General features: G+C 41.0%; 2 protein-coding genes across 19 annotated transcripts in view, besides 3 other annotated features; one reads left to right on the top strand and one right to left on the bottom strand.

Annotated features, from left to right (window-relative positions):
* NRDC (nardilysin convertase) overlaps positions 1 to 10,522 on the top strand; it is an 89,518-nt gene extending 78,996 nt beyond the window's left edge. For all 3 annotated transcript variants that reach the window (NM_001101662.2, NM_002525.3, NM_001242361.2), the window contains 10 exons: positions 1,321 to 1,483; positions 4,878 to 4,909; positions 5,122 to 5,260; positions 7,308 to 7,355; positions 7,634 to 7,686; positions 8,071 to 8,154; positions 8,742 to 8,832; positions 9,083 to 9,199; positions 10,075 to 10,164; positions 10,299 to 10,522. In NM_001101662.2, coding sequence (NP_001095132.1) covers positions 1,321 to 1,483; positions 4,878 to 4,909; positions 5,122 to 5,260; positions 7,308 to 7,355; positions 7,634 to 7,686; positions 8,071 to 8,154; positions 8,742 to 8,832; positions 9,083 to 9,199; positions 10,075 to 10,164; positions 10,299 to 10,496 — 1,015 coding nt within the window. In that variant the 3' untranslated portion in view covers positions 10,497 to 10,522. The remainder of the gene's footprint in view (positions 1 to 1,320; positions 1,484 to 4,877; positions 4,910 to 5,121; positions 5,261 to 7,307; positions 7,356 to 7,633; positions 7,687 to 8,070; positions 8,155 to 8,741; positions 8,833 to 9,082; positions 9,200 to 10,074; positions 10,165 to 10,298) is intronic.
* The window catches only part of OSBPL9 (oxysterol binding protein like 9), a 270,948-nt gene continuing 255,735 nt past the window's right edge, over positions 10,513 to 25,725 (bottom strand). For 12 of the 16 annotated variants that reach the window (NR_036662.2, NM_148909.4, NM_001350208.2 and 9 more), the window contains 10 exons: positions 22,814 to 22,899; positions 18,397 to 18,568; positions 17,089 to 17,173; positions 15,707 to 15,817; positions 15,405 to 15,468; positions 15,150 to 15,290; positions 13,846 to 13,924; positions 13,115 to 13,206; positions 12,244 to 12,379; positions 10,513 to 12,017 (listed from right to left, as the gene is read on the bottom strand). Coding sequence is in view for 15 of the 16 variants with exons in the window: in NM_148909.4 (NP_683707.3) it covers positions 11,943 to 12,017; positions 12,244 to 12,379; positions 13,115 to 13,206; positions 13,846 to 13,924; positions 15,150 to 15,290; positions 15,405 to 15,468; positions 15,707 to 15,817; positions 17,089 to 17,173; positions 18,397 to 18,568; positions 22,814 to 22,899 (1,041 nt within the window). In the remaining variant the exon portion in view is untranslated. The remainder of the gene's footprint in view (positions 12,018 to 12,243; positions 12,380 to 13,114; positions 13,207 to 13,845; positions 13,925 to 15,149; positions 15,291 to 15,404; positions 15,469 to 15,706; positions 15,818 to 17,088; positions 17,174 to 18,396; positions 18,569 to 22,813; positions 22,900 to 25,725) is intronic. The other 4 variants (NM_001416294.1, NM_001416293.1, NM_001416292.1 and 1 more) reach the window with 1 other exon arrangement.
* Positions 10,909 to 11,109: a silencer, noted in NCBI's record as "peak223 fragment used in MPRA reporter construct". NCBI's record gives its function as "represses an SCP1 promoter by STARR-seq MPRAs in K562 erythroleukemia cells {active_cell/tissue: K562}" and the evidence as "EXISTENCE:reporter gene assay evidence [ECO:0000049][PMID:32103011]".
* Positions 12,589 to 12,789: a silencer, noted in NCBI's record as "peak222 fragment used in MPRA reporter construct". NCBI's record gives its function as "represses an SCP1 promoter by STARR-seq MPRAs in K562 erythroleukemia cells {active_cell/tissue: K562}" and the evidence as "EXISTENCE:reporter gene assay evidence [ECO:0000049][PMID:32103011]".
* Positions 14,221 to 14,515: a silencer, noted in NCBI's record as "tiled region #3774; K562 Repressive DNase unmatched - State 17:Gen3'". NCBI's record gives its function as "represses a minimal TATA promoter and a strong SV40 promoter by Sharpr-MPRA in K562 cells {active_cell/tissue: K562}" and the evidence as "EXISTENCE:reporter gene assay evidence [ECO:0000049][PMID:27701403]".

The raw sequence follows: 25,725 nt of genomic DNA, 5'->3' as shown, positions 1-25,725 counted from the left end.
TAGCCTGTAGGATACTTTTGCGTGAATCAGAAAAAAGTATCCTTCTGAGGTACCCTCTATTAGCAGGTAGAGCCTTTGTGGGAGGGAGAGAAAAGTCCTCTGAACAGACCTACCCCTTTGTGCACATGACTGGCTAGCCCCTACTTGACAGTTTTGCCCTGGGCATCTATAAATAGTGAACAGCGTAAAGGTTCTGCTTTTGACACAGCTGTAATGAACCCATCAGTTTCCAGAATTAGAAAGAAGGGGTTAGGAATCAGTCATGTAATAACTGATATTCTGATCACAGAAAGTTACAAAAACTAATAACTAGATATATGTTAGAAAGGACATGGACACAGGGAGGGAACATCACACACCAGGGCCTGTTGGGGGGTGGGGGTGCTGGGGGAGGGATAGTGTTAGGAGAAATACCTAATGTAAATGACGAATTGATGGGTGCAGCAAAACTAACATGGTACATGTATACCTATGTAACAAACCTGCACATTGTGCACATGTACCCTAGAATTTAAAGTATAATAATAAAAAAAGGAGAGTTATCTGCAACCATTGATACGGTGAATAGCCCTGCCAATAACTCATGAATACTACTTTATTTATTTATAAAAATACATTATTAAACACAACCTTCTATTTTATTAAAATTCAACTCCTGAAATTTACTTTATAAAAGAATAATAATAAACCTGTTTGTTGAAGATTTTTGTGCTAGATCTAAGAACTGTTATATAAATTCATTAATTCAATTCTATCCAAAACGGTTACCTCTCACGAATACTTCCCCTGTTTTACAAATGAAGAAATTGAATCATAGATGTTAGTAGATTTGTCAAATTCAAACAGCTTATTTGGGGTGGGGTTGTGGAAATGGGGGATGAAGTTAATCTGATTCTGGACCAGAGCCGTTACCTGTATTATATTGTCACTGCAGTAATAGATATCCCAAATGATGGCTTCTAGTAATTAATGAAATATTAGTGAGATTTCAAACCAAAATAGTAATAATTTTAAATCAGTGTACAACTAAGTAAACTTGACTCATCTGGCAGCTTTACTTTTATGTGAAATATTTTACCCTGCAACTGAGACAGGTAAGTGCATTTTTGTACTGCTAAGTAAATTTGTTTAAAGTTTGTGTATGTGGTTTTCAGTACTTTTTTGGTTAATCTGATACTGTTTTCCCATCTTACATTGTGATAAAAATGGTCTCTCTTTAGAAACACATCCTTTATAGAACTTTGACCAAACATTTCTTTATTCTGAAGATTCATTTCTAATAACAAAACTTTGAGTGTTTTTTTTCTGCCCTCTGTACAGAGATGTACGGCTTTTAATCTTGGAATATGCCCGTTGGTCTATGATTGACAAGTACCAGGCTTTGATGGACGGCCTTTCCCTTGAGTCTCTGCTGAGCTTCGTCAAAGAATTCAAATCCCAGCTCTTTGTGGAGGGCCTGGTACAAGGGAATGTCACAAGCACAGTGAGTGTGAGATGCTCTGTAGGCCAGGTCTGAATGCAGTTGTGAACTCTGGAATTGCCATAGTTCTTTCCTAAAGGGGAAGCTGTAGTTTTGGCAGGCCAGCATTATCATATTCTGTTTAGAAGGGAACCTGACCCCTCTGATGCTGGGCAGCTTTCTTCTTAAGATGAAGACTGCTGGGCTGGGAATGATGGCTCACGCCTGTAATTTCAGCATTTTGGGAGGCCAAGGCAGAAGCATTACTTAAGGTCAGGATTTCGAGACCAGTCCAGGCAACACAGTGAGAACTCATCCCTACAAAAAATAAAAAATTAGCCAGGCATGGTGGCACATGCCTATAGTCTCCGCTACTTGGGAGGCTGAGGTGGAAGGATCATTTGAGCCCAGGAGTTTGGGGCTACAGCATGCTATGATTGCACCACAGTATTCCAGCCTGGGCAACAGAGTAAGACCCTGTCTCAAAAGAAAAGAAATAAAGAAAGAGAGAGAGAAAAATAGATTGCTGGTAATAGACTAGGATTTTGAGTGAAATGGGTTTGGCGTATCTATACTGTTTGTTACCTTTGTTGAAGATTGTATGTGGAAACCATGAACAGTTTAGTATAGAGGCTAAAATGGGAGGAAGGAAATGGTGAGGGATGTGTGTGCATACATACGGATACATACATAGATACATACATACATAGCCAGAACTAGTATGTCAAGCCTGTTTGTGAAGCTAAGGTGCTGGGCTTTATCCTGTAGAAATGGAGAACCATTAAAGGATTTAAGAAGATTTGTGGTTAAGAAATATCCAGAGAGACAAGTTATGAAGCTGTTTTAAAGTACAGATATGATTCCACTCATAGGAGTTATCTAAAGTAGTCAAATTCATAGAAGCAGAAAATATAATGGTGGTTTCCAGTAGTTGGGGAGAAGAGGGAAGAGACAAGTTATTTTATGGGTACAGAATTTTGGTTTTGCAAGATGAAAAAGTTCTGAAAATCTAATCTACTGCACAACAGTGTGAATATAGTTAACATTATTGAACTGTACCCCTTTTTTTTCTGAGACAGAGTCTCGCTCTGTCACCCAGGCTGGAGTCCAGTGGCGTGATCTTGGCCCAACTGCAACCTCCACCTCTTCGGTTCACGCCATTCTCCTGCCTCAGCCTCCCAAGTAGCTGGGACTACAGGCACCTGCCACCTCACCCAGCTAATTTTTTGTATTTTTAGCAGAGATGGGATTTCACCGTGTTGGCCAGGATGGTCTCGATCTCCTGACCTCGTGATCTGCCCACCTCGGCCTCCCAAAGTGCTGGGATTACAGGTGTGAGCCACCGTGCCTGGCCCTGAACTGCACACTTTTAAAAATGGTTGAGATTGGCCAGGCGCGGTGGCTCACGCCTGTAATCCCAGCACTTTGGGAGGCCGAGGTGGGCGGATCACAAGGTCAAGAGATCGAGACCAACCTGGCCAACATGGTGAAACCCCGTCTCTGCTAAAAATACAAAAATTAGCCGGGCTTGGTGGCACATGCCTGTAGTTCCAGCTACTCGGGAGGCTGAGGCAGGAGAATTGCTTGAATCCGGGAGGCGGAGGTTGCACTAAACTGAGACTGTGCCACTGCACTCCAGCCTGGGCGACAGAGTGAGACTCCTCGTCTAAAAAAAAAAAAAGTTGAGATTATAAACTTTATATTATTTTATCAAAATAAAAAGCTGGAGTGAAGGCTGTGCAAGGCGGCCCACGCCTGTAATCCCAGCACTTTGGGAGGCTGAGGCAGGCAGATTGCTTGAGGCCAGGGATTCAAGACCAGCCTGGCCAACATGGTGAAAACCTGTCTCTATTAAAAATGCAAAACTTAGCCAGGTGTGGTGGTGGGCATCTTGTAATCCCAGCTTCTTGGGAGGCTGAGGCAGAAGAATCACTTGAGCCTGGGAGGCAGAGGTTGCAGTGAGCCGAGATCACGCCACTGCACTCCAGCCTGGGTGACAGAGTGAGAGTCTGTCTCAAAAAAAAAAAAGAGTTGGGAGTGAAAAATATTGAAGCCTGATGTTAGGCCAAATAAATGAAAAATAATTGCTTAAGGCTGGACATGGTGGCTTATGCCTGTCATCCCAGTACTTTGGGAGGCTAAGGTGGCAGAATCGCTTGAGCTCAGTAGTTTGAGACCAGCCTGGGCAACATAGTGAGACACCACTTCCAAAAAAATTAAAAAAAATTAGCTGGGTGTAGCAATGCACACCTGTAATCTCAGCTACTTGGGGGCTGAGGTGGGAGGATTGCTTGAGCCCAGGAAGTGGAGGCTGCAGTGAGCTGAGGTCATGCCACTGCCCTCCAGCCTGGGCAATAAAGCAAGACCCTGGTGTTTTTTTTTGTTTGTTTAAAGAAGTGCTTAAGAAATAGAAGATGATGGAAATTCACTCAGTGGGAGTGAGAGAGAAGGCAGTCTAGAATGATGCCCAGATTTCTTTCTTGAAGCAGTGGGTTGGTGGAACAGGAACAGTAGTAAGAGTGGGAGCATATGAGGAGTTTGTTCTGATACGTATTTAGTTGGAAATGTCTGTGGGGCCTTGTACCTGACTAAGGCCTTTTCCTCAGTCAGATGCTTGTTCAAGATTCTCTCCCTGAACTGTTTTGTTATTAACCATCCTCCTCCATGCCTTCCCAGTTTCTCAGGGCTGGCCCTTTGATTGGAATATATAAATGGCCACTCTTGAAATTGTGGCTGCTATCCTCCCCTTTCTCTCTATCTTCATTCTGCAACCCCAGAACCAGCCTTAGTTTCTGTCTTGGCCACCAAAAGAATCTTAAGTCTCAGTCCACAAAGGGAAGAGAAGAAATAGGCTGCCTGTTTTTCCGAGCACCGTTGAAGTACCAGGCAAGGGCTTTTGATACAGAGTCCTTAGTACCATGAATTTCCTCCAGTAGAAATCACTTTAGAGAAGAGCTAATCCCTCCATTTATCCCTTATTTTATAGATAAGAAAACAGAATTCTTAAGAAGGGAAGAGGATGTATTCACTCAGTATTAAATGTTATTTTCTTTGCTTTATCCAGGTTCTATGTCAATGGGCCCAGGATTCTGAAACATAGTCCATGTTGTCATAAAGGCCACAGCCTAGTTGGGTAAACCAACACTGAACAATTAAGTTTGATCCAGTTGGGAAACTGTATTATGGGTAAACAGATTGCCAAGAGAGCCAGAACAGTTAAGAGCTGCTTAGTGTTCCACAAACACAATCAATCTTGAATCAGTCAATGAATAACTTGCCAGCATTTAGGTCACCAACTATATCTGCTTTCCTAAAGCTATGCAGGGCTCCCCAAGCAATTGGAACATTGATATTAGCTGATTCTGGGTGAAATGAATGTCTAGAGAGCTTAATGTAGTTATTCTCTTTTGCCTCTTAGGAATCTATGGATTTCCTGAAATATGTTGTTGAGTAAGTATTTGAATTTTCTCTTTGGGGTTATGTGTTCTTACCAGCGAGAGGGCATGGAGCCACAATTCAGTTAATTGTTACTAAACACCCAATTGAAATACTACTTGTAGTAGATTTTTTTGAGGCTGGTGTACAAGGCAATTGAAAAGTTAGAAGGCCTAGCTTCTTATAGTTTTTGGGTGCCTCAGTGACCCATACTGATTCTCTTGCAGCAAACTAAACTTCAAGCCTCTGGAGCAGGAGATGCCTGTGCAGTTCCAGGTGGTAGAGCTGCCCAGTGGCCACCATCTATGCAAAGTGAAAGCTCTGAACAAGGGTGATGCCAACTCTGAAGTCACTGTGTACTACCAGGTCAGTTGGGTGTACTAAAGACTGGCGGAAGGCCCAGTGCCTGGGGATCAGGGACCCCGTGACCTTCAAGGCCCTTTTATAGTTACTTCTGTAGTTTCATGCTTGGGGCCATTTGTCCTCTTGAAGCAACTACATTTAAAAATTGCTCCTGTTGGTAAAATGGATCCTTTTTCAATCACAGTGAGGTATTGCTTCATTAATCACCTAAGTACTAATCTAGAGGGCCAGAAACCGAGGTGTGGGTGGAAATCCCTACATGTGCCCCTGATAGAACTCCCAAGTAGCAGAAGGACATTTGTTAAGGGGCAGTTTTGAAAAGAAGACAGAAGTAAACATAGCCAAACAATTAAGACACAGCAAAGAGAACGACTACTAGAGTCATAAATGTTTAAAGCACCTGAGAGGAAGGATTTATCACCTCTGTTTTAGGGTGACAACTCCATGATCCAGAGCCCCTTACTTCTTGAGGTCGTACCAGCTGGGTCTCAGATTATTCCTTTTGTCTTCAGATTCTGTGTTCTTTCCACACCATTCTACTGGGGTGTGTGGTGCTTAAAGGAAGGAAGCACGTGGCAGTAATCACAGTTAGCTCTAGCCTATAGCCTGCTTTAACCTGTGGTTGGTCCCACTCGCTTCTAGAACCACGGGGATCTTCCTTAAACCTTGCCTGTCTAGTCTGATTACTGACTCCCCAAATTCTGGGGCTCCTGTAGCCGCTGCTGTTATCTTGGGTTCCCTGCATCAGGAATTCACTTCTTTGTCAGGTCTTGTGAAGATCCCTGACTGGGCTTTGGGTGGGATGGACTGATTATCATTTCTTTGTCTTGTATCTCTGCCCCTGGGCCTCAGCCTTATTCTGACATTATCCTGGTCTGGCTGTCAGGAGCAAATTCACTTGCCCGATGTCACGGTCATCTCTTGTTAGTGAAGTTGTGTCTTGTCCTAGTCTTCTTAATGAGTACTTTGATTCAGGAGCAACAGCACTTTTGGAGCTAGGTTGATAATATTTTTGTCCTTCCGTAGAGGCCCTGCTTCTCTCTGGAGCCTCTGTGGCTGTAGCATTCCAACCTGCAGCCTCTTCTAGGTTATGACTACCAGGTCCCAAACTCCACAAATGGTACAGCCTAGCCTTTCTTAACCTAGTCTACATTTTCAGTGCCTCTGACTGCTTACAACCCCGGTACAGGAGTACTCATTTTCGGCAGGATTTCACATTGTAAGACTATGTTTATAGAAATGCTTTCCATCAGTCACCTCTTAGCACTAGCTTCTAATACAAACTGTTCCCTTTTGGAAACCATATCCTTTCTCAGAGAGCATTGGTTTTGTTGTGGTCTGTTTAGAGGGAAACAGAAAATCTCAATGCTGACTAATCAGGTCTTGCAAGGGCACATAGGCATTAGCCTCTTCCTCTGGTGAGTGGGAAGCAAATGAGTCTGTGTGAGAGGAACCTGCAAGATCCTGACTCTGGGAGGCACTAGCAACATCCTTGTTTATTGGCCTCCTGTCCTTTCATTCTGAATGCATTATTTTGCCAGTCTTGGGCAGCTAGCATGTGGTCCCAAAGCGTGGCTTCTTTCTCTGAAGTATTTTTCTTATCAACTGGTTTTGGTCCTTTTATGTGGCACTGGTTCTTGTTGTGTGGCACTATTCATTTTCTCTCCTCTTGAGGAATAGATCCAGATACATTTCAGGATCCCCAAACATTTCCTGCTGTCTTCCTTAGGGCTTTGAGTTGCAAGTACTTAATTTTAGAATGTGTCCTCTGACAGGATCTGGCAGGTCAGGGATTATTAATCTCACCTTTGTTTGCACCTGCAATTCTATGCTAGTGCCGGGAGTACAAATGGTCAAGCATGACTCCTGTCCTCATAGACCTTCAGTCTGGTGGGAAAGCAGATATGTAAACAACATCAAAGTATGATTAACTCTCTTGGGGGAGAGCGATTGGTGGTGATACCTAAGTGGTTGCCTAGAATAGCTGGATTATTTAAAAGCCCTGTAAACCACTGGATATTCAGTTGGCCTGACAACCTTCTCTTTTCAGTCAGGTACCAGGAGTCTAAGAGAATATACGCTTATGGAGCTGCTTGTGGTAAGTGCATAAAGGAGATGCTGAGGTTTTCAGCAGCCCCTGACCCACTATGAGGCCCGGCCTTTTCTGCCTGGGTTAGGGACATGGGGTAGTCAGAGATCTGTGATTTGAAGGTGAGATGGTCATTTACTGTTCTCACCCAGTATAAGCCTGGGCCAATTAGGAAAAAGGCACTAAGGGAGGCTGGACTTGGGAGGTATGTGAAACACTCTGGGGAGAGAAATGGAGGTTTCTCTGCTGGGAGGAGTTGGGCTGATGGGCAGTATGTTGAATTACAGATGCACATGGAAGAACCTTGTTTTGACTTCCTTCGAACCAAGCAGACCCTTGGGTAAGTCAGCTGGCAGGGCCACTGAGCTCAAATAAGGGCCTAGGGCTTACTTTGCAGGCTGTTCATCAGATATCCCTACTGAGCAGCCTGTTAGAGCTTCCTTCCATCTCATAGGGTGATATTTAGTCATCCAAACTTTTGGAATTTGTATCTTTGACTGTAATCAGGTTTTCAGTTTGGTCAAGTTTCAAGATAAGAAAAAAGGCTAGTTTGTGGTCCCCAATTCAGGAGAGGTATGGACACCTTAACATTTTTGGGTCCTGTTTCAGGACTTCCAGTTCCAATAAGGATGGGCAGAAACTTTTCCCACTCCTATCTAGTGCCTCCAAGGCCAGGGCCCAGATGATCACCTGAGCTCATATAACTTTTCTCTCTGGCTTGTAGGTACCATGTCTACCCTACCTGTAGGAACACATCCGGGATTCTAGGATTTTCTGTCACTGTGGGGACTCAGGCAACCAAATACAAGTGAGTGAGTGAGTGAATAGATGAGTGTAACCTATTATGGACATGGAGAGTAGGGGCTACATGTGTTTCCTTAAACCTTGGGCAACCCTGACCAAGCAGGTTTGCTCTATTTAGTCAGTGGAAGCTGGGAAGATGGGGGTTGTTATAGATGGTCTGTTCCAGGACTGATCAATAGTTCCAGTGGCCCTTTCAGACTTGATTCAAGTCCTGTGGTCATTGTGTGGGGCTTGCCAGTGTTTCTTCTCTTCAGGCAGACCTGAGGACAAGAAGGGAAAGGATGCCTGATCTGACAGGCATTGCTGAAACCTGTTAGTTTTCAGCTTTGGAATGGTCATACATGGTTGTGACTGCTTCATTATGAGGATACCAGGAAACTGGGCTGGAGGTGGGGTGAGGGGGAGGGTTCTTTCTCTTTCTGTCCTCAAAGTCAGGTGGAATACTGAGGCCTGGGAAAACACTTTAGCTTTTTTTCCTGGATATATGTCTTAGTCTTAATTCCTTCTTTTGCCTTCTGCCTGAGATCGGGTTTCTGATGACTTAATTGAAGATGTTTTGTTTTAGTTCTGATTGAAGATGTTTTGTTTCAGTTCTGAAGTTGTTGATAAGAAGATAGAAGAGTTTCTTTCTAGCTTTGAGGAGAAGATTGAGAACCTCACTGAAGAGGCATTCAACACCCAGGTGACTGTGCCAGCCTGGTCTTTTGGCCTTTGGCCCACACAAGCCCCCAGATACAAATCTTAACAGGGCTTCGCCGGCCAGTTTTTGAGCTTTGCAGCCCCACCTTCCTCTTACAATAGTGTCTCCCTAGCTTCATCCGTGCCTCTTATACTGGCATGTCCATCACAAGCCGGGCTGGACAGGGCCCAGTGTGTTCTGTGGGAAGTGGTATGTTGCCTCACCTGAGCATCTTTCTTTTTGGTGGGAACAGGTCACAGCTCTCATCAAGCTGAAGGAGTGTGAGGATACCCACCTTGGGGAGGAGGTGGATAGGAACTGGAATGAAGTGGTTACACAGCAGTACCTCTTTGACCGCCTTGCCCACGAGGTAACATGGTTTTCAGAGTAAGACAGCTCAAACTGGTCAAGGTTCCTGATTCTACAGGCATCACAGGTCTGTGCACACCAGCATTGTGTGGAAGAGAAACTCGAAACACTAGTCCTGGCCTGATTACTCGCTCACTTCCTGAGTTTTCAGACTGGCCTCTCTAGCACCTTAGGTGGCCACGTGAGCTGGGTGCTAATCCTTACCACACCACCACCAATTTCAATCAGAGCAGCTCTATTTTTATGCTATATATTGAGGTCTACAAGATTTTGTGGAGAAAAAGAGTTTTGCCGTTTAAAGAAAATTGAGGACTCTTTGTCTTTACGGAGTTCATTATTCCAAGTGCATGTGTTTTGACAACTTCTATTCCAAAGTAGTAAAACCTATGAAAAAGATCTGGATCTTGTACTCCAGTGTGACTTTGGTTAATACATAGCCCCTACATGGTGAATTACCATAGGACATCATTGCTCTGTGATGTAAAGAGGTTATTTAGTAAGAGGCTTCATCTTAACACATTTTAGTTTTCTTAATAGAAGCAAGGTAGATTTCCTCAAGCCGTGGTATGCAGCTACCATGTAATTGGGAGGTGACACTAAGGGGATGTGGGTGTTGGGCTCAGTGTATGGTATTTAGCTGTAATTATAGCATCTGCTAACCTCTCTTGCCATTGTAGATGATTGGTATAAAATGTGAAGGCATGCCAGAGAGCTTCATCATCGTTTTGGTCTGGAAGGTTAGGGGTAACCTGAGAATAGGAAGAATAAAATGAGGTCTTCAGATGCTAAGCAGGTCCAGGGACATCTGCCTGGGGGTTAGGTTTAAGAGCTATCTTTCTTCTTGAATTTCTTTCCTATCTTCCCTTCCCTTGTAAGATTGAAGCACTGAAGTCATTCTCAAAATCAGACCTGGTCAACTGGTTCAAGGCCCATAGAGGGCCAGGAAGTAAAATGCTCAGCGTTCATGTGAGTATGTTTAACTAACTCCATCCATTCTAGGGTTGTCATTTACTGAGTGAGTTTGGGTGGTTATCATCAGAACTCTTAAACCCCTAAATCTGGTCAGCATATTTTTCACTTTTGTCTTTGTCCTCTTTCAGGTTGTTGGATATGGGAAGTATGAACTGGAAGAGGATGGTACCCCTTCTAGTGAGGATTCAAATTCTTCTTGTGAAGTGATGCAGCTGACCTACCTGCCAACCTCTCCTCTGCTGGCAGATTGTATCATCCCCATTACTGATATCAGGGCTTTCACAACAACACTCAACCTTCTCCCCTACCATAAAATAGTCAAATAAATAAACTGCAGTCACGTTGGCCTGAAGCAATGTGTATTTTAAAATGTGTTTGTTTGTATTTTATGGAGTTAGTTATACTACTGCCTTAGGGCTTCCATTGAAGTTTTGCACTGGCATCATAGCATTTGATTTACTTTTTATCCTTTGTTGAGACTAATAAACCCAGGGTTACTGTAGGAGCTGGCAAAGGAAAATTAGCAGAATGGGCCAAGCGAGACCAGAAAGCCTGCAGCAGCACTTTGAGAAGCCCTGGCCTGTGTCCTCTCAGACTGAGAATCTACTTCTTGAAAGGCCTTACGTAACCAGTATATTGAATAACTAACTAAATGCTAGGTACTAATACCTGTTTTTTTAATGTATTTTTAAATAAAAAAGATGATAGATAGATAGATAGATATAGTTCTGTATTTCCCTTCAGAATGAGCCATCTGCTGCTGTGGCATTCATTTTATTCTATCTATCTATCTATTTTTGTTCACTGTGGGGTGGGGATCTATAAATACACACTCTTCCCAAACCCTCTAAGGCAATAAAACATTTTTGGATAAAATGTTGGTAGGCAGCCCTACATGTGCAATATGAGTTAAGTGAAGATTCTGGGGAATTGCCTGGCAGGGGCTAAAGACAGAACATACAATCTGACAGAGGAAAAGAATGGATCCTCCATTATTTCAAGTGTCTTTCTTTGAAAAGCTAGCTCTTGTATTCAAGGTTGCCAAATAATTGGCTTCCAAGTTTAACCATAAAAGATAATAAAAGATGCACATTTTTAAAAAAAAGGTTGGAAAAATTACTTTATGAAGCCTTAAGCACTAAGAATAATTAATTAAACTGTAATCCAGGATTAGATACAATTTAATAATAGTTCAATTCCAAAATAAAAGTTATTGTAGGTAAGACCATGAAATTTCCTAACACTTGATTTTAATACATTGCGCTAATTTTCTAAAACAACTCAGAGGAACCCATATTTACAGTAGGCAGAATATTTATGAAAAAAATCTGGCATCAGGTATATTTATATATATGTATGTGTGTGTATACGTATGTGTGTGTATATATATGTGTGTGTGTGTGTGTATCCCGAGATTATATGAACTAAGAAACAAGTTGTGTATCTTAACAGCAGTACTAGAGCGCAGAGTTTCAGACTTGGATTTATAAATGCTTTCAACGTGTGGTGTTTGGAAAAGGAGAAGACATCATCTGATTTTCAAAACCTGAAGTTTTTCTCAGGACTGAAGTCAAAATCGTAACTGCCACAGAGGGAAAAGGGAAGCTTTTCCCCTTAATTGTTCATCTGCGTCAGAAAGTCCAGTATCCCTGAGATAGGAACCACTGTAATTAGAAGATTGGAATGAACAGGTTTCTCCCAAAGGAAGATTGTTTGTTGCTGAATTATGCCTACTGCCCTGATCATCAGGTATAAACTTTGCATCTTCCAACCTAATGCTTGGCAGCACCAAGACGTTTCAGTAATGGTTCATCATAAACCCAGCATTCTCCATCTTCATGAAATAACTGTAAGACAAAGAGGAAGAATTTAGTTACATATTTGCTTTGTACTTCTGTAATATACTTACTATTTCATATCTGCTCCCCACCCCGCCATTAGACTGAAATGAGTTTCAAGTAGGGACCAGCGATCATCTTGTTTATAAACAGTGTTTGGCACATCACTTCTTCAACATTCACTGAAATAAATTAGGAGGAACAGCACTTAGGAGGGTGGGGCAGGCAAGCTTACCCTTGTCTCCCACTGAATTTCCTTCTCCTTCCTTTCTCGGGCTTCTGCTCTTTGTCTTTCTTCAAGCCTGTGCTTTGCTTCAGTTGCTGCATCAATGTCTCTGATTTTTAAGTTGAAAGTGACATCCTTCCAAAGGCTAAAACAAAGAGGTAAGAGGAGCTGCCAATGTTGAGAATGAAAGCCTGCAGCCATCCTGAATATAGTATAATACAAGTCAAATGGCTTTAAGTGCTGTAGGTCACAGACTAAATCTCCTTACGCTGGCACCAGGGCACTGGAGTAAGGAACAGACATATGGGCTCAGAAGACTCCACTGCTAGTTGTCAAAGAAGGAAATAAGGGCTGCCTGATAGTATGATAAGGTCAACAGAAGAAAAAGAATAGTGGAAGCTGAGACCTGGGATTCTACTTCTGGCTCTATGTCTAACTTACTGTGCAACTCTGGGTCAATCAGTTTACCTCTGTAGGGCTTGAGTGTCCCTTAATATATACCTGTAAGTGTTAGAGGAACTGAGAAGTTCCATTTCAGAAAAACTCCCTTGGATTTAACAATATGATGGAGAAAATAGTATGAATGGAGAGAATAAGGGTCAAGAAGTAAATTACAGAGGCTTTAAAGTTAGTTAAGATGTGGCTTCCTCTCAAGGCCTTTATTCTCATTTCAGGAAAGAAGGTAAAGAGAAGTTAGCTGACTGAGCCATCCATGGTCACAAAGGTAGTAAGTGGTAGTTCTGACATACGAACCCAGGAATTCAAACTTGGTCTATACTATTATGCTCTGCCCTACTGTCTCTCAAACCCAGCCCTGTGCCTACGCCTAGGCAAAGTTTAAGCACTGCAGCAATAGTTCCACTTAACAATGTCGGCTTACCTGCGGGATTCATACTCGTTCTGATCTTCCAACTTCCTCACTTTCTTCTTGATTATAGGCAACTTCTTGGTATCTACAAAGACTGTATTTTCCTAGAAAACAATAGAGGTGGATGGGAACTAGACCCATAAACCCCTAACCTAATGTTAGATGCATTGTAGTGCTTTTGACACTTCAAATTCTCTAGGTCCAAAATGCAGTTAACTGGCTCCTCCTGTTAATTTCATAACATCTTTCCTCTGTTTAAGAACACTGAGTGGGCAGTAGTACAGAGTGCAAGTTCTTTGAAGGAAAGGTCTATCTTAACTCATTTTGGTATCTCTGGTGCCAGGCAGTCAGTAAATTTTATTATACAAAATCTTCAACTGTGTGTGTATGGAAACACACAGTTTAGTGCTTCATTTTATAAACATACGCCACATACCTAACATTTACTGGGTTCTTACTATGTGCCAGGCATTGTTTTACATATATTATTCTCAAGTGTTTTGAGAGCAGAGAGAAAAGTAAAAATGATTATAATTACCTATACTGCTGGGAGAAGGTGGGGGAAGGAAAGAAAAAGCTTGCCCTGAAGAGATGACATACACTGGAGCTGTCCTAAAGTTCCAGCTCTAATATACTGTAGAAGGAAATGCATTATGAAGGAAGTACTAATGAAGGAAGCCAGAAAAAGGGATAGAGTACAATCTAATGTAGCCTAAAACAAGTGGCAAAATAGAGGATCTTACCCCTGTTGCATATTTTGCATACATCACACCATTCCATTCCCCTTCAATTGAGCAAAAAGACTTCTTGTCATTTGGAGAACTGAACAGAAAAGGAAATACTTGTGTTAGTCTCAAGTTGAAAATTCTACCAAAGAATCTGCTCAGTGTGGCCCAACTACAGAGTAGAGCACAGAAGAGCAACTGTGAAGTTTTTGATGAAAGCATCTTAACAGAACTGGACTCCCCAGGGCTAACTATAAGAATGAGGGCCTTCAACAGGACGCTTATGAACTTGAGATCCCAAGAATGGTGGGTTTGGGCAAGAACGTCCTATTCTGGGTGCAAGGACCATAACAGAGTTGGCAAATTCCCTATCCTCAAGCTGTTCACAGCGTAGTGGAGAGAGACGTAACCACCATTGAAATTCTAGGTGGTAAGTGCTGTGGTGAGCTTACATGGGCACTGGGGGTCAGGGAAGGCTTTGCTTAAGAATATAATGCAGGCTTTCATCCTCAGGTTGAAAGGGACCTCTGTGCCAGATGGTGTGAATACTTTCCCTGAGCAAGGATCCATTCTGCAAAAGCCGTAACAGACCTCTACTTGGACACACAACTATGGAATGTGAGAAGATAAGCAACACAGCAAAGGCCTGGTTAGGAAGGGCAAGGCATAAACAGGATTGAAAGAGGCCAGAAAAGGGAGACATGACCAGGGCAGAGGGAGGAGAGCTGCTATCAACGCCTGAAACTTTCTTTCCCACTGTCCCCTTCCCCCCCAGTTAAGGGTTCCAGAGGCAGAGAGAGTCATGGTGCCATCACTATAGACTTTCCACTGACTGGCACAGTCATCTGCACGTGACCCAAGAGTGTCAAGTGGAAGCAAGCCAGATGCGTGCAAAATGTGATGGTTACTGTTTTTCCCCAGCAAAGGCACAGAAAAAGGGATAGCTGTGAGGACCAGGAGGCAGTGCTGCAGGGGTCACAAAGTCTGCTGTAAGGACCAGCTCATCATTCAATCTGGCAAGAATAAATTAGGGATCCATAATCTGGTTTAGCTAGGCAACCTAGGAAGGCCTCTTTTAGTTCAACATTGCAAGTCAGGTTTTTAGGAAGGAAACCTATCAATGACCTCTGACTGCTCTGAATATATGTTTTAGGTCTTCTTCTGATATGGGACTTCAGCAAAAGACATGACACATAAAATGTGAAACACGCTTACAAAGACAGAACCATTCTTTCACACTCCTAATCCAGAAGCTGTAGTTCAAGACAAAAGGCAGTTATTTCAGAAAAGCATAAGAGCTCTAAGGCAGAAAAAATACCTACAAAATCTCGGCAGTAATTCTGTGCTTCTTGCCCCCATAGAAGGGTTTAGTGTGGAAGATGATATTTGCACTATAGCCTGTTTTGGAACAATTAATATTGCATTCTCCTCCTAATTCCACCCAGGGCACTGTGAGGATAGACCTGCAAAATCAAAAGTTTTTAGGTAAGGTTGACAGTTAAGAGGAAGAGGGGGAAGGGGCATGTCTCAAGGAACAGCAGAGTCTACTGCTGATCAGAGGAAATGGACACACTTGCCTTCCATAGCCATTGGGGAATGTGAGAATGTAATGTTCATCATAGTCTAGACATGAGACACAGCCTGTGGAGAGAAGGGACAGAATCTCTGATGAGTAGTGCCAAGTGGCCACAAGGCTTTCTTGTCGAGCTGATGGTTACTCCAGGATACTCCATTCAATTTAGGGATAACCTATCTAGTTCCCCACCCTTTGCTCTCACCCCCAATACCAATGCTTAGTTGCTAACAATGACATCTAGTCTAGCCATTTTCATAAAATTCTCCTATAACATTGTAGTCCACCCAATGCCAACACACTTACCCTGCCCTATGTTGTGCACCCCAATTGACATCCCAAGGAATTTTGATTTGGTCCAGATATGAGCATTGAATTGTATCTTCTTGTTAAAACACTCAGCATAAAAGGCTGAAACTGAATAGAAATTTTCAATTAGTAGATTATATATACCTACAGCCACCTCTCCAAAATCACATAACCTGGGGAAATAATTGGCTTCATGGGGAAATCCTTTACCCTTCAAACAGCCTCCAATTACGCCAGGAGGTACCTACCTGCCTTTTATACCCTTTTCCCCAATGCAAGCATTCATTCAGAGCCACGTGGGCAGGATCATCCCTGAAATGATGCTGTGGCCAACCCAGGAAGCTTAAAACCAAAAGGGCTATCTGTTCTGGTCTGCAAGTACACCCAGGCTCCAGCCCCAACCTAGGCCCAGCCAGTGTTTCCAGTTTTAATACTGCACTAAACAAACCAGATGTTGAGGGTATGTACAGTTGACCCTCCATATCCATGGGTTTTGTACCCACAGATTCAGCCAACTGTGGATCTAAAATATACAGAGGCTGGGCTCAGTGGCTAACGCCTGCAATCCCAGTACTTTGGGAGGCCAAGACGGGAGGATCACTTGGGGCCAGGAATTTGAGACCAGCCTGGGCAACATAGTGATACACTGACTCTAAAAAAAAAAAAAAAAAAATAAGAAAATTAGTTGGGTGTGGTGGCACATGTCCATAGTCCCAGCTAACTGGGAGGCTGAGGTGGGAGGATCATGTGAGCCCAGGAGGCTGCAGTGAGCTATGATTGTGCCACTGCATTCCACCCTGGGGGACAGAGCAAGACCCTGTCTCAAAAGAAAAAATTTAAAAATACAAAATAAAAATAATACAAATAAATAGTGAAACAACTATTTACATAGCATTTACATTGTATTAGGTATTATAAGTAATCTAGAGATGACTCAAGTATACAGGAGGGTGTGCATAGGTTATATGAATATAAAAGACACCATTTTATGTAAGAGACTTCAGCATCCTCGGTTTTGGTATCTGCAGTATGCCAGGAATATACTGTGTAGAAACTACGTATCACTTATATAAACTGTCTCACAGTTGCTGAGGTCTCTACAGCACAAATTACTATATATAAGATGACTCTGGAAGCATTAAAAGTTGGTTTCCTAAATCCCTTCTTTTTATACGCACTTAATTTGTGAAGCTAAGAGTCTGGAGCTTACAAAAGGAAAAGATATGAGGAACAAATCAACTTGAGTTTCCACTTCAGGGAATAAGAAACACACAGCTAGTCACACAACTGACAGTACCCTCAGCTATGGCGCTTTTAATGACCCTCTTTAGACAGAATAGTTTTGAGAGCACAGGTTGCAGAGGAGCTCTGTAACTTACTGGGTGGATGATGGGAAACCTGCTCAGCCACAAATGTTACACTGTTTTTGGAAACCCAGGGAACTGGTCCTTCTGAAACTAGTTCCTGCAAGCAAATATAACATAATTTTCTTTTGATGAGAAAACACAAATGACATTTCAGAGAATCTGGTAATTGGGGTCTCTGCTCGCTCTACACACACCAAGCACCCTATATATATATTTCTATTGTAGAACTTAACTACAATATTTTAATTGCTTTGTGTCAGTCTCCCTGACTAGACTAAGACATTCTTAAAGGCAAGGATTGTGTGCCTCATTCAGGGCTGACAAGAGTAGGCACTTATCAATGTCTGCCAAATGAATAAGAACAGACACATACTTGTCTGTCTTCAGTATGGACTATACGTAGTGCATCACTTGGAGAGGGAAATATATGGAGAATCATGTTTACTGACAGATTATTATGTGTCAGGTGCTGTGGGCTATGGTTTTGTTTTTTTTACTTCTTAAAGCCTTTTTACATGCATTTGAGTCTTCCCTGCTGGTCATTTTCTTCAACCACTAAATTTGTTGGAGCCTCAGAGCCAGTTCTGGGTTACCTACTCTTCTGTAGCTATGCTGTCTTCCTAAATAATTTTATCCAATCCTAGAGCTTTAAAATGTCATCTAAATACACTATACTCTTTGAAAGCCCCATCCCCATCTCAGACCTCTCCCTAAACTCCACACTCTTAAATTCCATCTCCCTACTTGACAGCTTCACAGACCTCTAAAACTTTATATTTTATATTAGCTTTTGATTTTTCCCTCCCCAAATCCAATCTTTTCCTTATCAGTAAATGACACTGCCACTGCTTACATCCACATGCAAGGATTCATCTCTGATGTCTCCTTTCCCTTACCTCCCCCAATCCATCAATCAGTTCTACCTCCAAAATAAAGCTTGAATCACCATGTCTCTCTTGGAATAATGTCAAAACCTCCACAATGGTCTTCATGCTTCTATATTTGCCCCTTCTCAATTTATTTTTCACAAAATCATTCTATTGATCTTCTCAAAACAAAAATGAGATCCTGAAAAGCCATAAAATTATATTATGGTCTACAAGACCTTGCAAGATCTGATTTCTACATCCCCATCCTCATCTCATCCTACTCTTTTTCCTCCTTCTCACTACATTCAAACTATGCTGCTCTAACAACAATTTCTTCTATGGGTGGTGACCATCTTTTGATCATTGCTTTCATCATTATTATTTGCCCCTAAATAAAATCTTGAATCAGTATACAATTAAGATAATTTAAAAATGTCAATGCAGAACTCACTGTGTTCTCTTCAGTATCATTTGGTAATGTCCAATGACACTGAAAAATCTCGCCCAAAATGGGATTGTATGGCTTTTTGGCAACTGATCCTTTCCTTCCCGCATGAAAGGCTGAGAGGTACCATTTCACAACCTGAACCATTCGATCCTTGGGATCCTTCTGGTCACTAATGCTGCAAGGGAGAAAGACAAAATTTAATGTCCTGCTTTCTGGTACAAGACAAGATGATGCAACAACCCCCAGCATGGTCCACCTAAGTCAGGCTGAGAGGACTGAGGACCTAGGACCAGGAGTTAGCTTACAGTTTCATTTTAAAATTGAGTATAATATATATAATTAAATGCATTGGTCTTAGTGGTTTTTTCTTTTTTTTTTAATTTCAACAGGTTTTTGGGGAACAGGTGGTGTGTTTGGTTACATGGATAACTTCTTCAGTGGTGATTTCTGAGATTTTGGTGCACCCATCACCCAAGCAGTGTACACTATATCCAATGTGTAGTCTTTTATCCTTCACACCCCTCCCACCCTTCCCCTTGAAGCCCCAAAGTCCACTGTATCATTCTTTCTTTTTGAGACGGAGTCTCGCTCTGTCACCCAGGCTGGAGTGCAGTGGCGTGATCTCGGCTCACTGTAACCTCACCTCCCAGGTTCAAGCAATTCTCTGCCTCAGCCTCCCGAGTAGCTGGGATTACAGGTGCTTGCCACCAGCTTGGTTTTTCATTCCTGAGTCTCTTCATTTAGCATAATGGTTTCCAACTCCATCTAGATTGCTGTGAATGCCATTATTTCGTTCCTTTTTATGGCTGAGTAGCATTCCACAGTATATATATGCCACGTTTTCTTTATTTGCTTGTTGATTGATGGGCATTTGGGCTAGTTCCATTTTTGCAATTGCAAATTGTGCTGCTATAAACATGTGTGTGCATGTGTCTTTTTCATATAATGACTTCTTTTCCTCTGAGTAAATACCCAGGAGTGGGACTGCTGAATCAAATGGTGGATCTACTTTCAGTTCTTTACGGCATCTCTATTCTGTTTTCCATAGTGGTTGTACTAGTTTACATTCCCACCAGCAGTGTAAAAGTGTTCCCTTTCCACCATATCCACATCAACATCTATTTTTTTTTTTTTTAATATGGCCATTCTTGCAGGAGTAAGGTGGTATTATTGCATTGTGGTTTTGATTTGCATTTCCCTGATAATTAGTGATGTTGAGCATTTTTTCATGTTTGTTGGCCTTTTTTTTTTTTTTCTTTTTGAGATGGAGTCTCGCTCTGTTGTCCAGGCTGGAGTGCAGTGGCGCGATCTTGGCTCACTGCAAGCTCCACCTGCCGGGTTCACGCCATTCTCCTGCCTCAGCCTCCCCAGTAGCTGGGACTACAGGCACCTGCCACCACGCCCAGCTAATTTTTTTGTATTTTTAGTAGAGACGGGGTTTCACTGTGTTAGCCAGGATGGTCTCACTCTCCTGACCTCGTGATCCACCTGCCTTGGCCTCCCAAAATGCTGGGATTACAGGTGTGAGCCACCGCGCCCGGCCAACCATTTATTTTATTATCATTATCTTCTTTTGATAATTGTCTATTCATGTCCTTAGCCCACTTTTTGATGGGATTATTTGTTTTTGTTTTTGTTTTTTTTTCTTCCTGATCTGTTTGAGTTCCTTGTAGATTCTGGATATTAGTCCTTTGCCAGATGCATAGTTTGCGAATATTTTCTCCTACTCTCTGGGTTGTCTGTTTACTCTGTTATTTCTTTTGCTGTGCAGAAACTTTTTAATTTGACTAAGTTCCATCTATTTATCTTTGTTGCATTCACTTTTGGATTATTGGTCATAAAGTCTTTGCCTAGGCCAATGTCCAGAAGTTTTTCCAATGTTATCTTCTAGAATTTTTATGATTTTAGGTCTTAGATTTAAGTCTCTGATATATGTTGAGTTGATTTTTGTATAAGGTGAGTGATGTGGATCCAATTTCATTCTTCTACATGTGGCTTGCTAGTTATCCCAGCACCATTTGTTGAGAAGGGTGTCCTTTTCCCACTTTATGTTTTTGTTTGCTTTGTCAAAGATCAGTTGGCTGTATTTGGCTTTATTTCTGGGTTCTCTATTCTGTTCCATTGGTCTATGTGCCTGGGTCTTAGTGTTTTGCTTGAGGATTTGACAAACGTATATATCTATTTAATTAATCGTCACTTAATCAAAAAACAGAATATTTCCATTAATCCAGAAAGTTTCCATATCTCCCTTTCCAAACAATCGCCACATCTTACTTACTCTGAGGCAAACACTGCTTCTGGTTTCTAGTATCATAGATTAAGTCCATGTAAGTGCATTGCTTAATTGCCAAATAATTGGAGATTTTCTGTATGTTATCAATTACTAATTTAATTCATGGGTGTAGAATATACACCCTGTATGATTCCAATTATTTTAAATTTATTAAGACTTCCCTATATATGTTCTATCTTGATAAACATTTCACATGCACCTGGAAAAGACTCTGTGTTATACAATTGTTGGGTAGTGTTTAGAAAGGCCAACTGGGTCAAGTTGATTTGATATGCTGTTTAAATCTTCTATAGCCTTCCTGATTTTTTGGGGGGGCGGGGAGGTGGTGAAGGCAGAGGCTACTTGCTTCATGAGACCCTGACGGATGAATTTGTGGACTTGGCTATTTCTCTTTTTAGTCAATTTTTGTTGCTGCATGTATTTTGAAGCTGTGTTATTAGGTACATACATATTTAGGAGTATTATTTATTCTTGATAAATAGATGCTTTTATCATTACAAAATATTCCTATTTGTCTCTAATAATATTTCTTGTCTTAAAAGTCTCCTTTGATACTTATACAGATACACCAGTTTTTGCTATGTTTAGTGTTTTGCATAGTATCTCATTTTCCATCCTTTTACTTTTAACCAGTGTCTTTAAAGTTTCTCTCTTGAAAATATCATATAGATAAATCCTGCTTTTTTAATCCAGTCTGACATTAAATGGAGTGGTAACTGTTGATATAGTTGGGATTAACTCTACCATTTTAATAGGTTTTCTACATGCCCCCTTTGTTCCTTGTTCATGCCATTATTTCTCCTTTTCTCCTTTCTTAGAATTAATGGAGTATTTGTATGATTCCGTTTAATCTTATCTACTGGCTTTTGAACTGTACTTTTATTTTTTTTAAGACAGGGTCTTGCTCTGTCACCCAAGCTGCAGTGGTGTGATTATAGCTCACAGTCCCAGCCTCAAATTGCTGGGACTGCATGACCCTCCTGCCTTAGCCTCCCAAGTAGCTGGAACTACAGGTGCACACCACCAAGCCTGGCTTATTATTAAAAATTTTTTTTTGTAGGGACAGGGTTGTGCTGTGTTGCCCTGGCTGGTCTCAAACTCCTGGCTTCAAGCAATCCTTCTACTTTGGCCTCCCAAAGTGCTGGGATTACAGGCATGAGCCACTGCAACTGGCCTGTAAATAGTTCTGGGGGCCTCAAAGTTTAAATTCTCACACATAAAAACTACCCTTAAATCTCAAATCTATACCCAATGAACAACTGGTACGTTCCATTTTTGCTTACACGTTACTAATAAATGCTTAAATTTTACTTCTTAAATTATCTGTTAATTTAAACACTGCCATATTTATTTAAATTTCTGCCTTTGGGGAATTGGTTATTCTTTTAAATCTTCATCAAGAAAAAAAAAATATATATTTATCAATGTCAGCCAATGTATCCACCCAGCAAGAAACTTCAGTGATATGTATCTAGCTTCAGTAAACCACAGTCTGAGACTAAGGAATGCAGAGAAGACGAACTAACAACATTCCCCATTACAAAAAAATTTCCTGCTACCAGCGAAAGGCAATGTGAACTCACCTCCTTGTAAATCAATTTCACCTTTACATTACTTCTATCTCATACATATACACATATATAATATTGCAAGCTTTATATTTAAAATTTATAAATCATCTATAATTTGGATACTATATTGTAAGCTCAAGGGCAGACATGACTTTTCCTTTCTCCAACTTGTAAGAAAGTGCCTAGCAAACAACAGGTGCTTTGGAAAGGTTTGCTGAACTCAGAAAATTAAGCTTCATTAGGATATAGTACAAATAATTTGACAGTGATTGCCAGTGCCTGGATTAAATAAACTTATACCATTGGCCTTGTGAATATTGGCTACCTATTAACGGGCTCTTGAGAATTTTTTAAAGTGTTAAACTTGGTTGCCTAACATCGCCACCATATAACTTTAAGCAAACAGGCAACCAGTGTAAACACATTATTCAATACCACAGAATACCCAGAAATGTTTGAAAGGTGACAAGGAATCCATCTATCCTGCAAAATAAAAGGCAGAAAGCTGCTGAGTAACATCTGTAAACGTTGGAAACTACCATGTTCAGTCAAATACCTCACAAACAGGTCCGGATGTGCAAAAAAGTCTGCATACATTTCTAAAAGAGATCTTCTTTCAAGAATAAACGTTGGAAGAACTACCTGAAAAACATACACATTTGACCCTTGAAGATCAAATTTCTCTTCAGATAAACAGACTAAAAAAAAAAAAAAGAAAACAAAACAAAACACCACCTCATTCAAATCATGGTAACATCCACCACATATTGCCCAGGCATGCTCCAAAAACTAATTCTCAACCTGTCAGATTCAGAAATGACCATTAACCTGCCTAGCAGATCAAAAACAGAGAAAGACTTTTGAATGTTCAAATGTCACTTCCTCTGTGAAACTTCCTTTTTCTCCCTAAGTATAGTAACAACAACAAACTACTCAACAAACTCACTCAGAGGAATCCTTTGATGCCTCCTATCTGCTGGACATTACATATACATTATTTTATTATTTGTATATTACATACATATTATATTACAATAGCCCTATGATGAAGAAATTATTACAGTGAAGAAATATGAAGCTCAGCGTCCCACTATTAATTGTCCCATTATTAATGTGGAATTCAAACTGGATCTGAGTTTGGGGCGTGTGTGCACTTTCTACTGCTGTTGCTCTATCATCATTAGACAAGTGTATAGGAAATACATGATGAGCACCTACAATCCAAGAATTAAGTTTTATTCACACTCGCGCTCTCACTACTATTTACACAGTAAGAAACTTTTAAATGAGCAATTAAAGGAATAAACAAAAAGAAGAAAAGAATACAGACTGGGAACCAACAAACTGGAATACGGGAAGACATGAGAAAGATGATTAACCAATGAAAAAAAGAGAAGAATTTCATTAGAGAATGGGAATGGGAGAAGAGTTTTTGAAATGAGTATCAGATTATCAATTATTCATTACGAAGTAGAACACCCCAGAGTAAGCAAAAATTTCTTAACATTTAGTAATAACTACATATCCACTATATTCAAGGTCCTGTGTTAAAAGCTGTGGTGGAGGCTGGGCATACTGGCTTGTGCCTATAATCCCAGCACTTTGGGAGGCTGAGGTGGGTGGATCACCCGAGGTCAGGAGTTCGAGACCAGCCTGGCCAACACAGTGAAACCCCGTCTCTACTAAAAATACAAAAATTACCTGAGTGTGGTGGCGCACACCCGTAGTCCCAGCTACTCGAGAGGCTGAGGCAGGAGAATCACTTGAACCCAGGAGGCAGAGGTTGCCGTGAGCCAAGATTGCACCACTATACTCCAGCCTGGGTGACAGAGCAAGACCCCATCTCTAAATAAATAAATAAATAAATAAATGCAAGCAAGCTATGGTGGAGACAAAGGTAAGTATGAGAGAATAACAAGAGCATTTAAATTGTAGGTGGAATGTGACAAACATCATACAAGAATGCTCTAAGCACCCTGGAAGTTCAGTTCAAGGAAAGATCATGCTCTGTTTGGGGGAACAGAATGAGGGCAGAGCTGGGAAACAATTTATTGAGGTGGCACTAGAGAAAAGCCTTAAAGAAGAGTAAGGCTGTGATAAAAGAACAAGACATGGAGACGGGAGAAAAAAAAAAAGACAAGGAAAGGATAGGAAGAGGGGTGTGACAGGGATTAATCAGTGAACCAGTGTGGCTGGACATATAATGAAAATATAAAGTGGGCTGATGAACACAAGCTTGGAAAGGGACACTAAGACTGTAACACTTAGAATCTCTATTATCAGACTCTCAGCATTTAAATTTTAGGTAAACATTTTTCTTCCACAGAACATGTAAATTCATAATCCAAATAGGGTTAGATTAGCAGGGAAGCTTATATACTGCCTTGGTACAACTTCTTACCACTTTAGATAACGCAGAATTATAAACCACCGAGTAAAAATGCTGAAGAAGAAAACATGGATAAATACCTTTAATGTATAAACAGCTCTTACAACTCAAGATGAAGATCACTACTCCAGTAGATAAATGGACAAAGGAACTGAACAGCCAAAAAACATTTTTAAAAAGTTTAATTTCACACGTAATTTAAAAAAAATAAATATTTTTTTCTTCTACTTAGGATTTTTCTGAGAACTCTTATTTAACAGATTTTCTTCAATGTTTGTAGTGCTATACTGATACATGCTATTAAGTCAAACTGCTGTAACAGTGATGAAGAGAGCTGGGTTTAGCTGTCTTCAACCTGGGTTCAAGAGCTTGTTTAGCCTCTTCTTAGCTGTGAGGAGGCCCTGAAAAATTAACTCAATTTCTCTAAGTACCTGAAAAGGAAGATAATTACATGCCCTGCTTATATGTTAGGGTTCTTTTATTTTAAAGACTGAGTGAGGTTAAATGGGATGTGACTGTGTAGTATTTTTAAAAACTACAAAGTATTTGGAAAACAAACTCTTTTTGGAAAGTATCTGAAGTGAGAAAACATTCTTATAAAAGACACAAATTTAAGGCATTATTGTAACAATACTTTGGAATGCATAAAAGGAACCAAGATTTCAGAATCTGTTGGCAATCACAGCCATTTGTGCCAATAAAAATTTCAAAAATGACTTATTTTAAACACATTCAGTAAAAAATAATTATGATAATATCATTTATAATATAACAAGCTTTTAGCAGCTATGGACTCAAATATGGTTTATTTGGCAGAGAAAATTATGTGAGGCAAGAATTACAAACTTGATTGTGGCAAATACATCTGGTTGCCTCTCCCCATCCATGCTTCACCCCCAAGAACTCTGATTCAGTTCAGGTTCAGCTGTGGGCTGCCATGGCCTTCTCTTCCACGTCTCAAGGGGTGAATGTGGATTCATTTAAACCAATCATTTAGCCTCCCCCTTGCCAGTGGCAGGTTTAGGCACGAGCATATGCCTGATACTGGCCAATGAGATTCAACAGGAAGCCTAATGAGC

Source organism: Homo sapiens, chromosome 1, assembly GCF_000001405.40.
Source record: "Homo sapiens chromosome 1, GRCh38.p14 Primary Assembly".
NCBI classification, from domain to species: domain Eukaryota; kingdom Metazoa; phylum Chordata; class Mammalia; order Primates; family Hominidae; genus Homo; species Homo sapiens.
This window is presented reverse-complemented; position numbering and strand designations above follow the sequence as displayed.